The sequence below is a fragment of the Homo sapiens genome, chromosome 2 (assembly GCF_000001405.40).
Source record: "Homo sapiens chromosome 2, GRCh38.p14 Primary Assembly".
NCBI classification, from domain to species: Eukaryota; Metazoa; Chordata; class Mammalia; order Primates; family Hominidae; genus Homo; species Homo sapiens.
This window is the reverse complement of record NC_000002.12, coordinates 117,603,459-117,628,605: the sequence shown is the minus strand read 5'-3', so window position 1 is coordinate 117,628,605 and position 25,147 is coordinate 117,603,459. Positions and strand designations below refer to the sequence as shown.

Here is a 25,147-nt window from a genome sequence, read left to right as displayed (position 1 = left end):
TTTTTAATGATCACCATTCTAAGTGGTGTGAGATGGTATCTCATTGTGGTTTTGATTTGCATTTCTCTGATGGCCAGTGATGATGAGCATTTTTTCATGTGTTTTTTGGCTACATAAATGTCTTCTTTTGAGAAGTGTCTGTTCATGTCCCTCGCCCACTTTTTGATGGGGTTGTTTGTTTTTTTCTTGTAAATTTGTTTGAGTTCATTGTAGATTCTGGATATTAGCTCTTTGTCAGATGAGTAGGTTGCAAAAATTTTCTCCCATTTTGTAGGTTGCCTGTTCACTCTGATGGTAGTTTCTTTTGCTGTGCAGAAGCTCTTTAGTTTAATGAGATCCCATTTGTCAATTTTGTCTTTTGTTGCCATTGCTTTTGGTGTTTTAGACATGAAGTCCTTGCCCATGCCTATGCCCTGAATGGTATTGCCTAGGTTTTCTTCTAGGGTTTTTATGGTTTTAGGTCTAACGTTTAAGTCTTTAATCCATCTTGAATTGATTTTTGTATAAGTTGTAAGGAAGGGATCCAGTTTCAGCTTTCTACATATGGCTAGCCAGTTTTCCCAGCACCATTTATTAAATAGGGAATCCTTTCCCCATTGCTTGTTTTTCTCAGGTTTGTCAAATATCAGATAGTTGTAGATATGCGGCGTTATTTCTGAGGGCTCTGTTCTGTTCCATTGATCTATTATCTCTGTTTTGGTATGAGTACCATGCTGTTTTGGTTACTGTAGGCTTGTAGTATAGTTTGAAGTCAGGTAGTGTGATGGCTCCAGCTTTGTTCTTTTGGCTTAGGATTGACTTGGCGATGCGGGCTCTTTTTTGGTTCCATATGAACTTTAAAGTAGTTTTTTCCAATTCTGTGAAGAAAGGCATTGGTATCTTGATGGGGATGGCATTGAAACTGTAAATTACCTTGGGCAGTATGGCCACTTTCACGATATTGATTCTTCCTACCCATGAGCATGGAATGTTCTTCCATTTGTTTGTATCCTCTTTTATTTCCTTGAGCAGTGGTTTGTAGTTCTCCCTGAAGAGGTCCTTCACATCCCTTGTAAGTTGGATTCCTAGGTATTTTATTCTCTTTGAAGCAATTGTGAATGGGAGTTCACTCATGATTTGGCTCTCTGTTTGTCTGTTGTTGGTGTATAAGAATGCTTGTGATTTTTGTACATTGATTTTGTATCCTGAGACTTTGCTGAAGTTGCTTATCAGCTTAAGGAGATTTTGGGCTGAGACAATGGGGTTTTCTAGATATACAATCATGTGGTCTGCAAACAGGGACAATTTGACTTCCTCTTTTCCTAATTGAATACCCTTTATTTCCTTCTCCCGCCTAATTGCCCTGGCCAGAACTTCCAACACTATGTTGAATAGGAGTGGTGAGAGAGGGCATCCCTATCTTGTGCCAGTTTTCAAAGGGAATGCTTCCAGGTTTTGCCCATTCAGTATGATATCGGCTGTGGGTTTGTCATAGATAGCTCTTATTATTTTGAAATACATCCCATCAATACCTAATTTATTGAGAGTTTTTAGCATGAAGGGTTGTTGAATTTTGTCAAAGGCCTTTTCTGCATCTATTGACATAATCATGTGGTTTTTGTCTTTGGCTCTGTTTATATGCTGGATTACATTTATTGATTTGCGTATATTGAACCAGCCTTGCATCCCAGGGATGAAGCCCACTTGATCATGGTGGATAATCTTTTTGATGTGCTGCTGGATTTGGTTTGCCAGTATTTTATTGAGGATTTTTGCATCAATGTTCATCAAGGATATTGGTCTAAAATTCTCTTCTTTGGTTGTGTCTCTGCCAGGCTTTGGTATCAGAATGATGCTGGCCTCATAAAATGAGTTAGGGAGGATTCCCTTTTTCTATTGATTGGAATAGTTTCAGAAGGAATGGTACCAGTTCCTCCTTGTACCTCTGGTAGAATTCGGCTGTGAATCCATCTGGTCCTGGACTCTTTTTGGTTGGTAAGCTATTGATTATTGCCACAATTTCAGCTCCTGTTATTGGTCTATTCAGAGATTCAACTTCTTCCTGGTTTAGTCTTGGGAGAGTGTATGTGTCGAGGAATTTATCCATTTCTTCTAGATTTTCTAGTTTATTTGTATAGAGGTGTTTGTAGTATTCTCTGACGGTAGTTTGTATTTCTGTGGGATCGGTGGTGATATCCCCTTTATCATTTTTTATTGTGTCCATTTGATTCTTTTGTCTTTTTTTCTTTATTAGTCTTGCTAGTGGTCTATCAATTTTGTTGATCCTTTCAAAAAACCAGCTCCTGGATTCATTAATTTTTTGAAGGGTTTTTTGTGTCTCTATTTCCTTCAGTTCTGCTCTGATTTTAGTTATTTCTTGCCTTCTGCTAGCTTTTGAATATGTTTGCTCTTGCTTTTCTAGTTCTTTTAATTGTGATGTTAGGGTGTCAATTTTGGATCTTTCCTGCTTTCTGTTGTGGGCATTTAGTGCTATAAATTTCCCTCTACACACTGCTTTGAATGTGTCCCAGAGATTCTGGTATGTTGTGTCTTTGTTCTCGTTGGTTTCAAAGAACATCTTTATTTCTGCCTTCATTTCGTTATGTACCCAGTAGTCATTCAGGAGCAGGTTGTTCAGTTTCCATGTAGTTGAGTGGTTTTGAGTGAGAATCTTAACCCTGAGTTCTAGTTTGATTGCACTGTGGTCTGAGAGATAGTTTGTTATAATTTCAGTTCTTTTACATTTGCTGAGGAGAGCTTACTTCCAAGTATGTGGTCAATTTTGGAATAGGTGTGGTGTGGTGCTGAAAAAAATGTATATTCTGTTGATTTGGGGTGGAGAGTTCTGTAGATGTCTATTAGGTCCACTTGGTGCAGAGCTGAGTTCAATTCCTGGGTATCCTTCTTGACTTTCTGTCTCGTTGATCTGTCTAATGTTGACAGTGGGGTGTTAAAGTCTCCCATTATTAATGTGTGGGAGTCTAAGTCTCTTTGTAGGTCACTCAGGACTTGCTTTATGAATCTGGGTGCTCCTGTATTGGGTGCATATATATTTAGGATAATTAGCTCTTCTTGTTGAATTGATCCCTTTACCATTATGTAATGGCCTTCTTTGTCTCTTTTGATCTTTATTGGTTTCAAATCTGTTTTATCAGAGACTAGGATTGCAACCCCTGCCTTTTTTTGTTTTCCATTTGCTTGGTAGATCTTCCTCCATCCTTTTATTGTGAGCCTATGTGTGTCTCTGCACGTGAGATGGGTTTCCTCAATACAGCACACTGATGGGTGTTGACTCTTTATCCAGTTTGCCAGTCTGTGTCTTTTAATTGGAGCATTTATTCCATTTACATTTAAAGTTAATATTGTTATGTGTGAATTTGATCCTGTCATGATGATGTTAGCTGGTTATTTTGCTCATTAGTTGATGCAGTTTCTTCCTAGTCTGGATGGTCTTTACATTTTGGCATGATTTTGCAGCGGCTGGTACCGGTTGTTCCTTTCCATGTTTAGCACTTCCTTCAGGAGCTCTTTTAGGGCAGGCCTGGTGGTGACAAAATCTCTCAGCATTTGCTTGTCTGTAAAGTATTTTATTTCTCCTTCACTTATGAAGCTTAGTTTGGCTGGATATGAAATTCTGGGTTGAAAATTCTTTTCTTTAAGAATGTTGAATATTGGCCCCCACTCTCTTCTGGCTTGTAGGGTTTCTGCCGAGAGATCCGCTGTTAGTCTGATGGGCTTCCCTTTGAGGGTAACCCGACCTTTCTCTCTGGCTGCCCTTAACATTTTTTCCTTCATTTCAACTTTGGTGAATCTGACAATTATGTGTCTTGGAGTTGCTCTTCTCGAGGAGTATCTTTGTGGTGTTCTCTGTATTTCCTGAATCTGAACGTTGGCCTGCCTTGCTAGATTGGGGAAGTTCTCCTGGATAGTATCCTGCAGAGTGTTTTCCAACTTGGTTCCATTCTCCCCGTCACTTTCAGGTACACCAATCGGACGTAGATTTGGTCTTTCACATAGTCCCATATTTCTTGGAGGCTTTGCTCATTTCTTTTTATTCTTTTTTCTCTAAACTTCCCTTCTCGCTTCATTTCATTCATTTCATCTTCCATCACTGATACCCTTTCTTCCAGTTGATTGCATCGGCTCCTGAGGCTTCTGCATTCTTCACATAGTTCTCGAGCCTTGGTTTTCAGCTCCATCAGCTCCTTTAAGCACTTCTCTGTATTGGTTATTCTAGTTTTACATTCTTCTAAATTTTTTTCAAAGTTTTCAACTTCTTTGCCTTTGGTTTGAATGTCCTTCCGTAGCTCAGAGTAATTTGATTGTCTGAAGCCTTCTTCTCTCAGCTCATCAAAGTCATTCTCCATCCAGCTTTGTTCCGTTGCTGGTGAGGAACTACATTCCTTTGGAGGAGGAGAGGCGCTCTGCGTTTTAGAGTTTCCAGTTTTTCTGTTCTGTTTTTTCCCAATCTTTGTGGTTTTATCTACTTTTGGTCTTTGATGATGGTGATGTACAGATGGGTTTTTGGTGTGGATGTCCTTTCTGTTTGTTAGTTTTCCTTCTAACAGAGAGGACCCTCAGCTGCAGGTCTTTTGGAGTACCCTGCAGTGTGAGGTGTCAGTGTGCCCCTGCTGGGGGGTGCCTCCCAGTTAGGCTGCTCGGGGGTCAGGGGTCAGGGACCCACCTGAGGAGGCAGTCTGCCCGTTCTCAGATCTCCAGCTGCATGCTGGGAGAACCACTGCTCTCTTCAAAGCTGTCAGACAGGGACATTGAAGTCTGCAGAGGTTACTGCTGTGTTTTTGTTTGTCTGTGCCCTGCCCCCAGAGGTGGAGCCTACAGAGGCAGGCAGGCCTCCTTGAGCTGTGGTGGGCTCCACCCAGTTGGAGCTTCCAGGCTGCTTTGTTTACCGAATCAAGCCTGGGCAATGGCGGGCGCCCCTCCCCCAGCCTCGCTGCCGCCTTGCAGTTTGATCTCAGACTGCTGTGCTAGCAATCAGCGAGACTCCGTGGGCGTAGGACCCTCCGAGCCAGGTGCAGGACATAATCTCGTGATGAGCCTTTTTTAAGCCTGTCGGAAAAGCGCAGTATTCAGGTGGGAGTGACCCGATTTTCCAGGTGCCGTCCGACACCCCTTTCTTTGACTAGGAAAGGGAACTCCCTTACCCCTTGGGCTTCCTGAGTGAGGCAATGCCTCGCCCTGCTTCGGCTCGCGCACGGGGTGCGCACCCACTGACCTGCACCCGCTGTCTGGCACTCCCTGGTGAGATGAACCCGGTACCTCAGATGGAAATGCTGAAATCACCCGTCTTCTTCGTCGCTCACGCTGGGAGCTGCAGACAGGAGCTGTTCCTATGTGGCCATCTTGGCTCCTCCCTATGAACTCTTTTTTACAGGTAAGGAAATACAAAGTTAGAGGTTTATTCAAAGATTTTCATCTTTTCCAAGTCCATCCAGGTTAAAACGAAAATAAACTAGAACCAAAGTTTTCAGATTTAGTGTATTTTTTTCTCTCCTACGTAATGCTATTGTTACTATTAATGTTCTTTGTCTGCCAGAAAATATATTGATTAGTTTTCAGTGTGTTCGTTCCAGCATTTTTAGACTTTAATGTTTTTGCATGGCCATACGTGAACTAAAAAATGAATACTTCCTTCCTTCCTCTCTCTCCTCTCCTCTCTTCTATCTTCTTTCTTTCTTTTCTTTCTTTTCTTTCTTTCTTTCTTTCTTTCTTTCTTTCTTTCTTTCTTTCTTTCTTTCTTTCTTTCTGTCTTTCTTTCCTTCCTCCCTCCCTCCCTCCTTCCCTCCTTCCTTCCTTCCTTCCTTTCTTTTTTTTAAGAGACAGGGTCTTGCTCTGTTGCCTAGGCTGGAGTGCAGTGGTGGGATCATAGTTCACTGCAGCCTTGAACTCCTAGGCTCAAGGGGTCCTCCTGCTTCAGCCTCCCGAGTAGCTGGGAGTACAGACATCATGCCACCATGCCTGGCTTTTTTTTTTTTTCTTGTAGAGATAAGATCTCACTTCATTGCTGAGGCTGGCCCTGAACTCCTGGGCTCAAGCAGTCCTCTCGCCTGGACCTCCCAAAATGTTGGGATTACAGATGTGGGCCACCGTCTGTAGCTTCCTCTTTATTTCTATTAACTGGGGATAGCACTTGATAGTAGTAGTGTTTACCTTTGATTTTGATTGCTTCCAGTGAAGATTGGGTTTTTGTGTTTATTTTTGTGCTTGTTTTTTTAAAACCAAAGTTTATTTTAATTAATTCAGTGGGAGAAAATGATCTAAAACCATAACTTTATATTATTTTATGAAAATTTCTGTTGAAACTTTTTGTTTTCAACTATTTTTATGCTATTGTGTAGACATTATTTATTTACAGAACTCTGATCCTGTTTGTACTGTGAGATTGGTGTGATGTGGGAAGTGAAGCCACCTACTCTGAGTTGCTACAGGGCTCTGACCAGGACAGATAAATATAATCAAATTTATTCAGAGAACTTAAGATCCCTGGATGTTGTTTTTGGAGCAAGTGTAGAGAGTGCTAATACAAAATTAATCTATTTTCTATGTTGTAATTCAATTGCATAGGACTTTATGGTTTGAGTGACACACTATGAGCTGTTGAGATTACACTCTGCCTTGCTTTATTCTGATTGAAGGTTTTGACTTTGAAGAGGATGTTTGCCAAGTAACTTCTATTTTCACCAAGCACCTCAAAGTTGTCACTGGATTGATTAATTCGTTTTTTCACGTTCAGTTTTCTTTACTGTGTTTATCTTTAGGCAGATTAACTTTGGTGAGACATTCCATTCTTCCTGTGTTAAAATGGATAAGCTGATTAATTTTCTGCTTTTTGTTTTGTGTATGAAAACGAGTTTGACTTAAATGTAAATGCATTGTGTGTTTGACATTCTGGACACTTTAGACTTCAGTTTTAAGAAAGAAAACAGATGAAAGAAGGGCAAATATGTGGTAAATAAATGCTTTAAATAATGAAAGTATAATAGGGGTACTTGGTATGAAACTGAAAAATAATGTAGCCTACTTCTCTACTGTGAGATGATAAACACATTTCTTAATACATCTATAGGTGTCACTCTTGATATACACTCTTGAACTGACTTCTACCCAGGTTTGAATCTGACAAAGGGCTGCTGGGATGAATTTTATATAGTGTGTTTGATTAACTCCTGTAATATATGCTTCTTTCTGATATGAATATAGTACATGAGTCTGATTTTCTGGCACAAATAAAGTGACTAATATTGAATGTTTTATTATTTTGGGGCAGAAAATTACTTTGGACAAGGAGGGTGAGATATAGGTACAGAATGAAATAAATCATAGAACTGATTATTTTTTGTCTTGAAATTCCTAGATTAATAGTTTAATCTATTAGCCTAGATTAATAATTTAGAAAAATTAATTTCATTCTCTGCTCCTTCCTTCTCCCATTGCCAATGTGCACCAGCTAGAGCCTCTGATCATGTGTTGTCTTCTGTGCAAGGATTCACTTGTAGATGGTGATTTCCCTTCATCTGGGCTTTAATGAAGGAATCAAAACAGTGTCTAACTGATATTTCTGATTTTCTGAAATGGGTTCCTAAGTTAGAACCAGGACACATTTTAGTATATTGGAATTCTCAGCCTCTCACTTCACAGGAGTTTTTCCGTTTCCCATTTTTGTTTTATTTTGTTAATAAGGTGATCTGAGACTTGGGGAAGTCTCTTGGCAGGTCAAAACCTCAGGAAATTGTTAAGTGGTGATCTATGTTTTATGCATACAGGTATGCTTCTAATTTCTTTTTTAAAAAAGGCTTCCCCCTACCGATATTTGAATTAATGAAAATATCAAGCAGTTATCACTTTTCTATTACATACCTTTCATTTTTCTAGAAGTTAGGGATGTAAAAAAACATCAGGGACAATCCTTGCCTTCAAGAATCTCAGTGTTTAATAGCAATGAGAGACAAAAGAATAAACTGTAAGAAAGCAATTCAAAGGATGAGCTTTGTAGAATATAAAGCAGAGAGGTATCAAATTTGCTTGGAAATCAGGGGATATTTTGAGGAGAAATTTGTTGAGTCAAATTGAATAGAGTTTCCAGAGAGGACAAGGTGGTAGGGAGAGATTGGGCTGTTTAGGTGGATGGAGCATCGCTTACAAGAATGACCGGCACAGGACACCGCGTGTATTGGAGGGCGGTGAGTAGTTAGGCCTGGCTGAAGCGCAAGGATGAGTGAGTGGGGAAGAGGCAGTGCCTCTGTGATGTCCCTTCTGTGAATTGCTCTGAGTGCCTTACTGTGCTTCACTCAAATAAACTGACCTCAAAAGTTAGTATCACAGGCATTCTTTTTTTTTCCTTTTTTTCCAACAAACTTAGCTGTTCGTGTTCAACTTTTTCAAAATGGAGTAAGGCAGGTTTCTGAATGGGCAGTTTTTACATTACAGTTGACAACTATCATTGGGTTTGTGTTAGACAGTAGTTGTTTTGATGACATTATTTTTGTCAGAGAAGGAAGCCAAATGGAGAGATTGTGTGGCTGAGTTTTCTGTGACTGATATGGTTAACTAAATTATTTCGTTACAAATGGGTTTTGGGTGCTTTGCTTTGCACTGAACATTAGCTGTGTCTTTCAGCTCTTACAAAAATAGCCAATACTTCAATGGTCCTTACTGTGTGCCAGGAACTGTTCTAAATATGTTATACATGTATTAATCCATTCAACTCTTTATAACCACGCTGTAAAATAAGTAATAATAAAGTCCCACTTTTATCCGTAAAGAAATGAAGCACAAAGTGTTGGAAGACTTGCTAGTCATATAGCTGATAAGCGGCAGAGCTGGGATTTGAACCATGATAGTCTGCTCGCAGTTACATGTTACCTAGTAATTAGATATTGCATATTAGTTTAATTGTTATACACAATAAGTTAGTTTAGCAATTTTTATATTATGGGAATGAGAGACATGCATAAACCTTTTTCTAGATGGCTATTAGAAGAGCAACCAACGGAGATTCATGGCGAGAGAAAGTGGGCTGGGAGTACTGGCAGCTCCTCTGATAATTCAGGAGGGCTCCCTGGATGGTGAGTGATTTCTTTATACTTGGAGGATGCCCACAGCAACCAGTTCTGGAAAGAAAGGAGAAGAAAACTCTGTCATATCCTTAGAAATTAGTGTCTAAGTAGCTGCTAGGAGTCATCCCAACTGGATGTATCAGACTCAAGAGGCTTGACAAAATGTACATGGCAAACTATAAATAATACTATTTTATTTCAGCTTGTGGAGCGCCAACAGCATCCTTGGGGCTGTACGGATTAAAAAAGACATCATTCCTGCCCTAAGGTTTAAAATACAAACAGTCAGATTTGAAATTTCTTACCGGATCCAGATGTTTGAGTGTCGCAGATCACTCATCCCTTTCTGTTCCTCTCTGTTTTAAATTAGCATGTATTCCCAGGGCAATAGATGCCCCAATGTTATCCACACTGATTTTACTCCATTCTTTAGCAAAAAGTAGAATGTGCCTCAAATATTATTTTTTCTTCAGCATTTAGACATCGGAAATGATATTCACTAATTTTTGTGTGTTAACCAGCTACTCCCATTAGCTTGGCCTGTTAAATTGAAATGCTACATCAAGAATTGAATAGGCCAGAAAGAAACATTAGGAAAATGCATTTACGTATACATTCACCACCTGAAGTGCTGGCTACATATGTGGGCACAGTAGGTGATTTAAAAGTTCTTAACATTTCCTGAGTGACTGGTGGCTCATCACCCATCATGGTGTGGAGGAAAGAGCTCAGGATGAGTGAGCTTCCAGAAGGGGGCAGGCTCCAGGCTGATCCTCTTGTATGTTTATCTCATTTAATCTTCCCAACTACTCTGGAGTATAGATACTATTTTACAGTCAAGGAATATGAGGCTTAGAGAGGTTACGTGACTGGCTTAAGGTCACATGGCTAGTAAAGGTGGGGCTGTGATTAGGTTTAAATTTTGTGTGGCTCCCAAAGCTCAGCATTGTCTATGGCAGAGAGCACAAGCCACCTCATGGACAAATATTGTTGTACTCTGACAACATCCCATTGATTACTCTCACTGGTTATTCCATGACATCATCTTCCTTTTGAGAGGAAAGAACTCAAGTTTACTCCTCTAGTTTTCTTCTAATAATTTGTTAAATTCCTGACCATTGCAATGTTTTCATTGAAGGTTAACATTTAAATCAGAAGATGAAAAAATCTGATGTTGTGATTCAAATCCTCATTTATACCCTCTTTCATGCAGCAGGTGTGAGCCCCTCTCTTGCCCTGGGCACTACCACATTCCTGTGAGCAGGGGTAGAAGGTAACGTGCTCCCTAGACTCCTGAGGAAAGAAGGGCTGCCTGCATTGGGGGAAGTCTGGCAGAGAATTCACAGCTTGACAACCAATTAAAATGATAGCAGGGATTAGTAGGTAGCCTTCTGAGGTCAAGAATGGCTCAGGAACCTATGAATAGACAGAGATTGGAATGTACCTGGTCACTTCTCCATATCTAGCTGGTCTCCATTGTGCCAAGCAGAAGTCCCTTCAAGGGCCACATGGAATATACACACCATATAGGCTTCTGACTCGGTCTTTATGATACCCTGGTTTAGCCATCCTGTGGTTAAACTTGTTGTTTTCTGATGGTAACCTAGCAGTTAACCCCTGGGGCTTGGCACCAATAATTGGGCCTATGTAATTTGAAATTACTGTGAATTTTGTAGATGACTGTGAATTATTGTTCAATTGTCAGCCTAGAAACAAATCTGAAAAGGACCAGCCCTTAGGTGTGCTGCATTCACAGTAGAAACACTGGAATGAATATTAGGCCTGAGAGAGAATTGGCTCAGTTACAGAAGTTCCAGCAGCTTATAATATAAATGGTTCACTGAGTTGTTCAATAGATTTCCACAAACATCCATTGTGGGGAGGACACTCTGTTGGGCACTGCAGTCCCAAGTCAGGGGTTACCTGCCCCCATCATGAAGAAACGTCAGGTGGACCCAATGGATCCTATTTTTTTAAATTTACATACTTCTTCCTCTGAAATGGTCAATGGGAGATTTAAAAATCTCTGCAAGTGGAAATTCAGGGCACAATTCCAAACTTCTCATTACATTAGTGCTGGCAGATGACCAAAGAGTTCAAGAGAAACCCAGGATCAGTAAAAACAAAACAAAACAAATAAAACAACAACCATGAGTCTGTAAGGAACAATCCAGCCAGTTGCAGGAAGAGTAACACACATTTTCAATGGGGTTGAGATGTGGTAGGATAATTTCATAGGGGAAATAAGAGTGGTTTTGCTGTTAACCAGCTGTATGATTTAGAAACTCTCCTAAGGTCTTGGGCCATCAGTTTCCTGATTAGAAGAGATAATCAATATTGTGTTAGGAAAGACTCCTGGCCCCATGTTTTTCACCCACTCTACCACCTGCTGTACCTATGCTCCCATCCTTGTCCTCCCTCAGGTACAAATGAACCTGGCCTGTCTCCTTGCACTCTAGATCCCATCCATTCTCCCCTACCCAAGGGCATTGCTTGAGCCATCAGCCCTTCTCTCTCTCACTTTATCATTTTTTTTTTTCTCCTGGGTCATTCTTATGAGCCTATAGCATACCTTAATATCTTCCATCTTCAATAATTCTCTATTATCTTCAATCACTTCCCACTTCCACCTGATTTGGCTTTACAGCAAAGCTTTTCAAAGAGTAATTAGTGCTTCCTCGGCTCCTCCTTTTCCATGAAATAATGCACAGCAGGACCTTGTCCCTGACTCTCTACCAAGATGCTCTTGTCAAGCTTATCAATACTACCATATTTCCAAATCCAGTGGTCAGCTTTCCTTCATTATCTTACCTAATCAGTTTTGTGGCAGCATTTGAAGGTTGTTCACAACTTTCTTAAAGCATTTTCTTCTCATGGCTTCTAGGACACTGACTTCCCTATTCCATTGGTTTTCCCCTCCTCACTCTCCTGTACTAGACCCCAGTCCTCTTCTTGACCTTTAAAGGTGAGGGGGGCGGGATGGTCCCAGGGCTCAGTTTGACATCTTCTTATCTTCTTCCCTGTCTCTTCTCAATCCCTAAGTGGATGCATTCCGTCCTATGCATTAAAGACCATCTGTGCACTGAAGACTCCCCCAAACCTTGGAGTCATTACTAGCATCCCATTCTCATTCCCCTCCACATCCAAATCAAACAACAGTCATATAGTGCTTAGTATTTGCTGAATATTCTAAGCATTTTACATGTGTTAATTAATTTACACAACAACTTAAGAAGATAATTCTGTTATAACCTCAATTTTACAGATGAGGAAACTGAGGCACAGGGAAGTTAAATAATTGCTGAAGTTCACAGAGCTCCTTGGGTAGGAATTTGAGCCCATGTGGTCTGACCTCAGAGGACATGATCTTAACCACTGTGCTGCATTGTATGCTTGGACTGAAAGTGGTCCACAAGGAAGAGCCTTCATAGATTCAGGCAGTACTGGCAGAAGCAGAGTGGTGCCTGCATATCTGTCTTTCTCATCCGCAATGGAATGTTGACTGAATCTCTTTCTACAAGCAGAGGCTTCTTTGCTGAAGCCAGGGTGGGCGTTGGGCCTTCTTTTTAAACTCCATGATGAGCCCTGACACACCTCGTTGGAATACTGGGACTCTGGAAAGTCATGGTGCTCTGAGGTGAGAACAGCATGGATTTGGAGTCAGGAAGACTTAATCATGGGCCTGCCACACCCAGGCTCTGTAATCTTGGCAGGAATCTTCTTTCTGAATCTCAGTTTCTTCTTCTATAAAATGGGCTTCATAATACTAATCTTGCTGAGGTGTCCTAAGGTGTGATGTTTCTGAAAAACTCAGTGCTAGGTGCATAGTAGGTATGCAAACAATCCTAGATACGTTATTATTTATTATAACAGTCCTTGACTAAGTTACCCGTCTTGGTGAAGGTTAATTATGGTGGTCTTCTTTCCTTCTTGCTTTGTGCCTGCTCCTCTGCCAGGGCCCTATTGCTCTCAGTTTCCCCCTGGTGGTCCAGGGTCCCCTATTTTACCTGACCCAGGTGAGCTTTGCCTGGATGGGGGTCCCTGCTATTAACTTTCTTGTCATTTTCACTCTCCCAGTCAGTATCTCTTTATTGCCTGGCCTTGCCCTGGTGAAGCAGATTCAGAGTAAAGGGCCAGTACAGTTGCACATTAACACATGCAGGGAATGCTGGCTGTGCTCTACAGCTACCCACTCAAGAGTGAGGATTTACACCCCAGTGGTGAGAAGACTGCTGCCAGGCAGCCCTCAGCCACCTTTGGGAAATGTCTTGGCTAAAGGGAGCCACCTGGCCCAAACTCTTGCCTCATTTCCTGGCATCAGTTGACTGACCAACAGGGACATATAAAAGCTTGAGCCCCATGTTTCAATGTGGGACAACTCTGAAGAGCCAGCTTAGCTTCAGAGCTCCCCTGGAATCAGCTGAGGGCTTTTTGCACCTGCAGTGCAGCCCAAATTGTCCCTCTGCCCATTCTGATTCCTTCTCTTCCTTCCACAGGTGTGGAGCCTGAGGGCTCTGCCTAATCAACTTCCTGCATGCACATCTCCATCTCAGCGTCTGCTCCCCAGGGAATCAAACACAGCAAGTCTTGAAGTTTAATCAGGGCTTTCAGTGTCTTAACCAACAGGCAGGATTTGAAAGGCTGTTACATGTTAGTTGGAGAGAAAGTTTTCCCTAGGAACCTAGAGGCCAGTCCAATTGTGTCACATAGAGCACCTGAGCTGTGCATAGCCCCATGTAATGCTTCCTGATTGATTAATTTGTAATATTGACCATGGGTTCTTGTCTCTGAGACGACCACCCAAGACATTTTAAATTATTTCTTGTGTTGCATCAACTGGCATTTCCTAGGCCCTGATTCTTTAATAAGAATGTGTGTGTGTATGTGAGTATGGGTGTGTGTGTGGGGGGGTATGAGTGTGCGTGTGTGTGTGTGTATGGGTATGAGTGTGTATGCATGGAAATGAGTGTGTGTGTTTGGATATGAGTGTGTATGCATGGAAATGAGTATGTGTGTTTGGAAATGTGTGTGTGCGTTTGCATGAATATGAATATGTATGCATGGATATGAGTGTCCACTCCTGGAAGCCCTCTTGGATCAGACCCATCCGTAGCCTTTCTCCCAAGCGTCCTCTAGGGACCCAAGGGACCTCTGAAGTCCCACCAGATACTCACATCTGCCAGACAAAATTTCACAGTCTTTCTTCAGGACCACTTCTCTTGTCAGTCCATCCAGTTGGAAAGCTATCCGCAGTTGTTGGCAGAGTCTTCATACACATACTGTAAGTTTGCACCACTTTCTTGAAATTTGCCATGAGGACCACAGATGAAATGTCCTTTGAGCTTTGTAATGATTGTCCTACCATTGCATGGTGCTAACTTTATGACGTCTTGTATCATAATCATTTGCATACATCTTATCTTGCCAAATGAAATACATATCAAGCATTACACAGAGAGGGCAGTTAATGAATACCTGTTAGATAATGAAGACATGGCCGTAAACAATGGGATAGTCACAAAAATTGCTTCCATTATTGGGCACATGTTATATCAGGCCCCGTTATTTATCTCAAATTCCTAAAATAATGATGGCATTGTTTTATCTTCTATACAATATGGTGAAACTGAGGCTGTGCTATCCAGAGGTTTTGCAAAATCACCAAAGTAGCAAGTGTGATAGACTGAGAGGATTTAAGCCCTGGTCTGTCTGACCCCCAAGTCTATCACATGTCCCTCAGTCTAACTAGAGATACAGCACCTGAGGCAGGCAGGAAGGCTTGCCTTGGCCCATCATTGCATACCCTGAGATAATTGTGTCCAGGGTTCCCAACTGCTGTGAGGGCCAGAGGCAGAGCAGTGGTCATAGTCGGATGAGGCACATAGTGTGTGAGTTAAGTGCGGATTTGCTAGAGATGTTAGGCTTTCCCAGGAAGAGAACAGGTAGGGCAAGGCTGAATGAAACTGTCTGAGGAAATGGTTTGGTTTGGGCTTGGGGTGGGTTTGGGATTTCTCTCAAGGAGCAAAGCCAATGAAATAAAATGCTAATATACTGTGGCTCCTTCATATGGCTGCAAATCGTGAACAATTTAGTTAAAGACAGAGAGAGAAGCTGGGAGGGGAGGTCCTGAGCAGCTCAAAGGAAGACACAGGGACACGTGGGGCCGGTTCTCTGCACAGAGGGCGGCATGCAGTGAACCCAGCAAACCTTCCCCACTTCTCTTCTTGTGACAGGAACCTCCATCTCACCTGGGCTGAGGGGCCACTCCTGTCTTCAGTGCTGCGTGGAGAACTCTCTTTGTTAAGTCAGTGTTTTTCAGAATATGGGTCCTTAGCAAGTAGCAAGGGAATCACCTGGGAGCTTGTTGAGGAATGCACCTTTCTAGGCCCCACCCCAGACCTGTGGAATCAGGAACTCTGGAGGTTGGGCCCAGCTGCCTGGGCTCTAGGTGATTTTAATGCTCAAGTCTGGGAACCCCACACTATGCCATTCTCTGTGACTTTAATTCTCTCCTTTCGTGTGCTCTAAGTTTTCTTTATCTTTCCTCATATTAGAATTCTCTATATTCCTCAGCATCCAACTGAAGCCCTCCCACCTTCACATCAGTTTCTCTGCCCATCCCAGTCTACAAAGATTGCTTTTATTTATGGCCTTGCATTCCTGAATATTTTTTCTTTCGTAGATGCATGCCCTGTCTGTGGACTATGCCTCTTTTCTGCTGTTTGTTACACTTATTTGTAGTCCTTACAGTTCCTTGCACATAAGAAGTGCACAATAAATGCCTCATGGTGACTGATGGAACACTGAACCTAAATATTTTATTTCTGACTATCCATCATTTTACATGCCTATGTGTAACATAAAAGTGGAAGAATTCTTCTGGTAACAAAGGGGAAATCTGTTTTTATTTTGTTATATTGCTTCTTGTTCCAGAAAGGATTTAAGGAGTCTTAAAATGCAGCAAAATAACATATTAGAAATAAGAAAGAAAAAAAAAGTCAAGGCAAGGTTAGGAATATAAAATGGATCCAGGAATGATACCAATATAAAAATGCCACTACATAGGACACTCACTCTAGATCAACCGAAAATGTGGCTCTTAGCTTTCTTATCAGGGATTTGGAAAATACTGGCTTTCAAGCCCACAACAGAAGTTAGAATAGATTTGCCTTTCATGAAGTCACATAAGTTTCAACACGGTTTCCTGGTTATTTTCTCTGCCTTTGGATTTGCTTAACAACTGCAGGATGCCAAGAAGCCACCCTGGAGGTTTTTGAAAGAAGATTTCAGACATGTTGGTCCTCATCATTGCAGATGGCAAGAACATTCCACCTCCTCTCCCTAGATATGGGAAACCTCAGAGGAGCTGCTGTTTCCCAAGGGAAACAAATGGATGGAGAAAGAAAGACCTGACTTCTGTAGAACTGCTGAAGGGCAAAGGCACCTGGCCTTGACTTGTATCTTGTGTACTGTCTCCCTCATCGGCAGAAGCATTTGTTAAAGTGATTGGGGGACCTGCATGGCTTAGAGCTGTTTTTGGATTACAGTAAGAGAAACTCATTTGAACTAGCTTGAGGCACAAAATGGGAATTTATTATAAGGATAATGAAGTGTTTTAAGGAATGAACGGAGGTCTCAGGAATGGACTGGAACCAGAAAATGGAAAGCTATACGGAGTACTTTTATTTGGCCCTGTCATTGTTGCTTCTCATGCTGTGTGGCTGTTTCTTCTTTCTCAGCAGAAGGCTTTCTCAGCCCTTCAGTCCACAAATGCGTGGAAAGTGGCCACATTAGAAACCATATCACAAATTCTAGTCACTCAGTGGGACTATCAATTGCTTCCAATTCTAGTTTCTCCTAGAAGACACTCTGGGGCAAATGTTCACTCCTGGTCTGATCAGTGGTGGCCAGAGGAATCAAACTGTACAAATATGGCTGCTAGAGGGGCTCTGTGTTTTGGGGGCAGTTACAGAAGACGGGGAATAAGGATAGGCACACCAGCACTTTGCAGTTACAGAGGCAGTCTACCTGGTTGTCTGTATGGGGAACTGAGATCCTAACTGCTAGAGAAGTTCTAGCCCTGAATTTAAATTGTGACAGCATCTCTTATTTGTATACCAAGTGTGCAATTATGTTTCCGCACATCACCTCGTTTTATTACCACATTTCTATAGGGGTTAGGAGTATGTATTTTATATACAGGGAAATGAAAGCTCAGAGAATCTAAGTAACATATGCATAGTCACACAGCTGGTGAACAGCAGGGGTGGACTAGGAGTCCAAAAGCCATTTTAGACCTGTCTCTACCACTCACTGGCTTGTTGCTTGGCCAAATCTTACTCCGACTCATATTCCTCGTCTTATAAATGCATTAATTATTCCATCAGCAGCCAGCTTGCAGAATGATTATGAGAATCATACAAGTAGTTCTTTTTTTTTTTTTTTTTTTTTGTGAGACAGAGTCTCGCTGTTGCCCAGGCTGGAGTGCAGTGGTGCGATCTCAGCTCACTGCAAGCTCCGCCCCCTGGGGTTCACGCCATTCTCCTGCCTCAGCCTCTCGAGTAGCTGGGACTACAGGCGCCTGCCACCTCGCCCGGCTCATTTTTTGTATTTTTAGTAGAGACGGGGTTTCACCGTGTTAGCCAGGATGGTCTCGATCTCCTGACCTCGTGATCTGCCCGCCTCGGCCTCCCAAAGTGTTGGGATTACAGGCGTGAGCCACTGCGCCCGGCCACAAGTAGTTCTTGGATCTGGTGGATCATTAGACTCATACAGGGATCTTTTAAAAATATAGCTCTCAGGATGCCAGCCCTATGTATTCTGATTCAGTGGATCTGTGGTGGGACCCAAGTATGTGTTCTTATAGAAGTTCCCAGAAAATTGTGATGATCATCTTGGGTTTGTGAATCCTTCAGCAGCCTGAAAACATGGCCCATAATTCACAAAGCATGGTGGAAAATATACTGTGACCACAGTGACAGAGTCAGAGCAATCTCCTCTATGTTATGTTTTATACAAGGTATGTATTGCTTTCTTTTCCAAGATGGTTTAGAGGGATCACCTAAGGGACAATGGAGAAGAACCGACACCCATTCTAGTGTTTGAGAATGTGTGCATATGTGTGTGGTGTGTATATGTGTGTGTAAGTGTGTGTATCTATGTGTACTTGGTGTGGGCAACAGCAGTATGTGGAGGGTGCAGAATGCAGGACATGTTTCCTCCCTAGGCTGAAGAAGCTTCACTATTTCCTGAGTTCAAGGAGATAGTATACCTTGATATTTGTGTTGCTTCTACTGCAAACCAGGCATTTTAGGAATGCTACACGTACTCTTTCCTTTCCTTTTCTCTTTTATTTCTCCCTCCCTTCCCCCCAACCTCCCTCTTTCTTTCTCTTTCTTTCTTTCTTTCTTTCTTTCTTTCTTTCTTTCTTTCTTTCTTTCTTTCTTTCTTCCTTCCTTCCTTCCTTCCTTTTTCTTTCTTTCTTTCTTTCTTTCTTTCTTTCTTTCTTTCTTTCTTTCTTCCTTCCTTCCTTCCTTTTTCTTTTTCTTTCTTTCTTTCTTTCTTTCTTTCTTTCTTTCTTTCTTTCTTTCTCTTTCTTTCCTTCCTTCCTTCCTTCCTTCTTTCTTTCTTTCTCTTTTTTCTTTCTTTTTCCTCCCTCCTTCCGTCCCTCCCTCGCTCCCTTCCTTCCTTCCTCCCTCCCTTTTTCTTTCTTTCTTTCTCTTTCTTTCTTTCTTCTTTCTTTTTCTTTCTTCTTTCTTTCTTTCTCTCTCCTTCCTTCCATCCTTCCCTTCTTTCTTTCTTTCTCTCTCTCTCTCTCTCTCTCTCTTTCTTTCTTTCTTTCTTTCTTTCTCTTTCTTTCTCTCTCTCTCTTCCTTTTTGCTCTTTCTTTCTTCCTTTTTTCTTTCTTAGAGTCAGGTTTGCACTGTGTAGCCGAGGCTGAAATGCAGTGGCACAATTATGGCTCACTGTAGCCTGAACTCCTGGGCTCAAGCCACCCTCCCACCTCCTGCCTCAGCCTCCCGAGTGGCTGGGACTACAGGCATGTTCCACCATGCCCAGCTGATTTTATTTTATTTTTTATTTCTAGCAGAGACAAGGGTCTTGCATGTTGACCAGACTGGTCTCAAACACCTGGCCTCAAGCAACCCTCCTGCCTCAGCTTCCCAAAGTCCTGGAATTACAGGCATGAGCCACTATACCTGGCATTACATGCAATTTCTTAAACAAGCAGGAGATATAGGTATTATTTCTACTTCATAGAACAAGAAATCAAATAAAGTGTTTTTTATTTTGTTTGAAGTCAGACAGATAGGAAGTGCAATAAAGCTGGGATTCAAATTTAGTTTATGGTTTTTGATTTGGAGAACTTTTCAAGTGACAAAGCTTAGGAAAGATAAGTGAATAATCAGAGAACATTGACAGGAATGCCTTGACATCACTACTAGGATCACTAAGCAAATTCAAGGGTCATCACTTTCTGCTATCTCATTATTTACCTTTGCCTTGGTCTGATGTTGGCTGCCTTGGGTACTAAATAATAATGAGGTATTTTCAAACCAGACTGATGTTTTATTTTGAGTAATGATAATAACAGTAGTACCAGTACTAGTAGTGGTATCTGGCGTTTACTGCTCACACTTTATCAGGCATATTGAAAGATTATTGCTGGGTGCGATGGCTCAAGCCTGTAATTCCAACACTTTGTTGAAATTACAAAGTGTTGGGCTGAGGTGGGCGGATTGCTTGAATCCAAGAGTTAGAGACCAGCCTGGGCAGCCTGGTGAAACTCTGTCTCTACAAAAAATACAAAAATTAGCCCAGTGTGGTGACACATGCTTATAGTCCCAGCTACTTGGGAGGCTGAGGTGGGAGGATCACCTGAGCCTGGGGAGGTCAAGGCTGCAATGAGCAGTGATCACGCCACTGCACTCCAGCCTAGGTGACAGAGTGAGATGCTGTCTCAAAAAAAAAAATATATCACTATTACAACAAATCTACGAGGTAGGTATCACTAACTCCATTTTACAGATGAAATTGAGGCTGAGGGAAGCTAAGTAGGCAGCCCAGGACCACAGTATTTCTAAGTGCAGGGTGAGGATTCACTGGAATTCAGGTCTACTTGGCTCTTGCGGTTAGGCAGAGCTGTATCTCACAGCCTCTGCATCTCACAGCTTCTACTGCTCCCTAAATGATGGGTCCTGGTTCAACGCATTGCTGTCTATTTTTTTCCCCTGCCTCAGCAAGACTCTTTCTTTCTACCTTGGCTGGCATTTTTATTCTGTAATTCAAAAAGTGAAAGAGACATCAGCCATAGTTGTGTGTGCCCCTTCATAGGCAGAGAGTCTCAAAATTTAGTAAGTGTCTCTTGGAGTTAGTCAAGGAAGTAATTAACACTGGGGCACAGAGGGCACCCAGAGCCTCCAATGTCTGGCATCAGGAAAGTCACTGCTCACCATTAGCACATGATTAAGTAGTTTATCATGAGCAGGCAGTGCTAGTGAAGTGAATGTACTTTACTTATATGTATTTATTGGAGGCTTTATTTTGTTTTCTCACAAGGCCTGGACAGCCTAGGGAAGGGGCTGTCCAGAAGGACAGGCACAGAAGGGAGGTATCTGGTCTCTGTGGACCAGGTGGAAGACCAATAGGAATTGGAAAGAAGGTATTATTGATTGAGAACAATGATGTGGGAAGGCAGTTTCACTCCCACTTTTGTCCAGGTAAGAGATATAGATCAAAAAGAGTATTTATCTAAAGTTACACAAATAGCAAGAAACAGAGTAGTGTTTGCTTCAATCTAACCCCAGGTTTTAGCTTTTATACCTTAAACCTGTCAGCAGGACACTGAAGCAAAGATCAAGACCTGCAAGAACCAGAATGTAGTTAAAGTGGAAGTGGAATCAGAAGAGGAGAGATCAATTGTTGGCTAAAGATAAAAGGTAGTTGTGGCAGATAATATTTTCTAAAAATCTTCACCTTCTATCTATTCCATCCCATTTGCTCTTCTCACAATGTAATGTTGAACTTCATCACCAAGATGCAGATGTCTTTCCCTCCCTCTGTGCCCTGGCTCACTCATTCTTGGAACGTGCACCTTGAGATTTCTGAGCCAATGTGTAAGAAGTCCAACCACCCTGACTTAAATGCTGAGTCACCGGTGCCTGGAGAGACCCCATGGAGAGAGCACAGTGAGACAGAATCACTTGAGGAGGCTAAGCTCTTCCAGCCCATGCTGTTGGAACCTCTCTAGCCCAGACACCAAACTGTGAGTATGTGAGCTCTCAGAAGACAATTCTAGCTCTGGCCTTCAAGCTACCCCAGCTATCACAGACTGAACTGGAGACAAACTTTTCCCATGAGGCCTGACCCAACTTGCAGATTGATCAGCAAAATAAATGTTGTTATTTTTTAGGTCACTAAATTTGGGGGATAATTTACTTTACAGTCATAGTAGTTGCTGAAGTTATTGATGAAGAAGATATTTCAACATCTAACTGAGACCTGAACATCCATTTGGGTATCCCTTCTATCCAGGCTCAGGCACAAAGTCTTAAATGAACCAAGGAGGCCACACAACTTTTAATATTCTCTCTAAGAGCCTTCAGAAATGGTTGTCCTTCTGTGGCCCCAAAAGTTTCCTAGCTGTGTGTAGTTTTAGCCTTGCACATGGGAAAACATCACTATCAATACAAGACAATACATTCTAAGGACAAATTCAGAGGAGTGAGATGACTCTAGGCTGGGACATGTGGGGAAAACTGCCAGAGCAGGTGACATTCCAGTAAGTCTTGAAGGATTTTGTTTGGCACAAGGTCAGCAGGGCATCCCAGTCAAAGAGATGGATTTGGGCAAAGGCATGGGGTGTCCAAGTTTATGCTAAACTTGTTCTCTGATAGAAAGACCAACTTGGCCAGAGTGAAAGCTCCAAATATGGGGATATGCCAGGGGCAGGTTTGGAGGATTCCTTTCTTTGTCTTGAATCTGTCTGGGAGGATTCCAAAGAACCTTGAGAACTGGATCCACACGTAAGGGTAAGGTCTCCTGAAGAATGAATAATTGCTACATTCATCCAGGAAACAAACATTCCCTAGGATTACAAGGTTCCCATGGCCTCCTCTGGTATCGTGGGGGTAAACAATTCCATTTCTAGATGTTTGCAGAGCAGGCAAGAAAAACAGAGTCTGAGAAGATTGTAACTTCTCCACTGAGGCCCTGGACCGCATCCCTTCCAGTGTCTTACAGATCTCAGCTCCCAAAATTAACTCTTCTTTCTCTGGCCCATTTAATCTCTCCTTCACCATTGCCTTTAAACACAGAAATTACAACTATAGCTAGTATCCTTTTTCTCTTTTACCAACATTCCTCTTGAATAAATGAACTTATTGAGTTAATCTACTTTTCAAAATAGCTTTCATCAGTTCTCTTTTGAATGGTCCCATCTATCGAGCTTTTCCATTACCGGTAGACTTCCCATGTTAATGGTGATTGACAGTGGTTTTCTTTCTTTCTGCTGCATTTGAGATGCCTGTCACCTTCTCTGAAGTATCACTACTCCAAATTATCTTCCTACATTTCTGCCAACTGTAGTCTCTTGCCCTGTGCTTGTCTCCGTCTCTTGTGCTGCTGCTTTCTTCTCTTCCAAAATGTAAGAGTTTTCCAAGGTTGCTAAAAATCCTCTGCTCTTCATTATGCCTTCTCTTTCCCTGAATCCAGTCACACTTACAGTGTCAACTATCACTTCTAAGCCAACAGCTCAATAAGTAAGACAATAGCAGCTGCCTCGCTCCCACATGCTGAACACTAGTATATGCTGGATACGACGTTAAGCATTTTATACCTATTTAGTGAATCCAAGTCAAATTGGTATTGCCATCATTTAACAAGTAAGCAAATTGAGGCTTATAGAAGTTCAATTGTGGCTAATCAGAACCCAGTTTTGCCTGACTTTGAAGTTGGTGCTCTTACCCCTTGCACTGAGTGAACTTTTGCCACTTTCCTGAGCACTTGCATGTCCACTGTCACTGGACATTTTCATCTAGATGCTCTTCTGTTACACCTAGCTGATTGTGCTCAATATCGAATATCCTCTTCTCACAATATGAGAACTACCTCCAAACTCCTTGAACTTTTTTCATCCCTTCTGATATCTCCCCCAAACCCTTCTTAAAATACGGCTTTACAAACCATCATGACAAGGACAAACAGGTCAACCTGAGGAACAATAATCACCATGGAAGTGGGTGACACCTTGTCTCTTAAGAATTGTGGGCATCACATGGATTTGTGAGTCAGTACGTAGCTGCCTGGACCGCAGGATGATGTTTTCCCGTGCAATTGTAATGACGTACATTCAGTGGCTTTTGCAACTCATGAGCGTGATCGTCAGGCTTTTCTGACGAGTTCCTCAACAATTCCAAACACCCCCTTCTCTCCATTCTTACACCAGACCACAGAAGAGTGTGGCCCATCACTCCTGGAGGGAGCATTGATTGTAGAATGTCAGAACTGAGTTTAACCTCGGAAACTATTTTAGGCTAAGCCCTTCCTTTTACAGTCGAGGGAACTGGGGCTCAGATAGGTAAGGCATCACCTCCTCCAGAAGTGTATCCTAAGCACTCTATTAAAAATTGCAAAAGATTTCTCTGCCTACCCCACATTTCAGAACCTCCTCACTCTGTGCGCCTTCTCCCTTTCCCAAGGCTAGTGTAGCCCTGCATCCCCATTTGTCCAGGAGACCTACTGTTCCTACCTGCTGCTCCTGTATAATTATCAAGACAGCCTCCTTTTATTCCCCAAAATAGCCCAGTTTAGAGGACCAATTTTTCTGGTGACCCTATCCATAGCCCTTAACACCTTCGAACACACCATGTCGTTCGGTACTAACATATGTATTTATTGTTAACTATCCAAACTTTCCCCCCTTGAATTGAGGGTCTATGAAGGCAGCGTCTTTGTTTTGTTGATTGATATATCCCCCATAATTAGAACAGTGACATCATGTGGTAAATAACACTTGCTGGTCCATGCCGGGCTGGGAAGTGAAATGAAGCAAGTGGAGTTCAGTCAAGCAAAAAGTCTGCACTTGCAGAATTCTAAAGAGTGTGGGGTGGGGTAGGAAGGGGGTGGGCATGTGTCCTTCCAGCACTGTAAACTCCCTTTTCCTACTCTATGAGGAATGCTGATGCAGTCAGGAATGTAGAGACAGAATGAACAACCTTCTAAGAACACCCTATTTCTTCCTGCTTATCCTCCTTCTCCATCCGCTGGCTTCCCATACATTTTCCTTGTCCACTCTTGACCTTGAATTTGTCCTCCAAGTTCATAATTATACTTAATTTCTCTAGTTAGGTTTGATATAGACTAATCATTTAATTGTAAATTTTTTTTAAAAGATGCTTTAAAATTATCTCAAGCTCATTGAAAACTGTAATTTATTAAAGTGGGCATTTAGATTTTTTTAAAAGGGAAAATGGGTAAGATTAAGTACCCGCCTAATTCTCCCCCTCCACCCCTACTGTCTCTGGAAGGTTGCAATCTGCCCCAGACAGAGGAGTGCTTATTTTTGCCAGGGACTTATTTTCTGCCTTCATTCCATCCCTGCAGATTGAATGCTGGAGTGCTGGCAGATTACCAGTGGTGTCACAGGCTCCTTGCCTGCCCCCCAACTGTGAGATCATACTTTTTCATTTAGAGTCAAATCATGGAAAGAATCAGAAAGGATTATATTGTCAGAGGTAGCAGGAAGGAAGTAAACAAACGTCTTATTAAACAGCCTCTGTGGAGCCTCCAGGTGCAGGCTGGCTTCTGTGTTGGAGGAATGGAAATCAAATTCCTGGCATTTTCCATGGGACCCTGGAGACCGAGATTGCTCTGTTATCTGTCTGTGCTCCCGTGCAGCATGGCCGTGTGTCAGTGTTACTGACACATGTACGATCCATGTGTAGCCCTGGCCTTCTCATGTTTCTGGAGGTTTGCAGTGGGGAATGGAAGCAAGGCTGTTGCAAACAGGGTGGCCTGAGGTCCCCAGGAGAGAGTTGCCGAGAGGAGCTTCCAGCTGGAGGGGCTGACAGGGTTCTGGGCATCACAGCAGCAAG

At 42.1% G+C, this 25,147-nt stretch overlaps 2 annotated features.

Moving 5' to 3' along the window:
* Positions 4,448 to 5,647: an enhancer, noted in NCBI's record as "BRD4-independent group 4 enhancer chr2:118380535-118381734 (GRCh37/hg19 assembly coordinates)". NCBI's record gives its function as "activates an origin of replication core promoter dependent on BRD2, P300/CBP, MED14 and CDK7 cofactors, and independent of BRD4, by STARR-seq in HCT116 cells {active_cell/tissue: HCT116}" and the evidence as "EXISTENCE:reporter gene assay evidence [ECO:0000049][PMID:35650434]".
* Positions 4,504 to 5,366: an enhancer, noted in NCBI's record as "NANOG-H3K27ac hESC enhancer chr2:118380816-118381678 (GRCh37/hg19 assembly coordinates)". NCBI's record gives its function as "activates a minimal SCP1, AML or CMV promoter by ChIP-STARR-seq in primed H9 embryonic stem cells {active_cell/tissue: H9 hESC(primed)}" and the evidence as "EXISTENCE:reporter gene assay evidence [ECO:0000049][PMID:30033119]".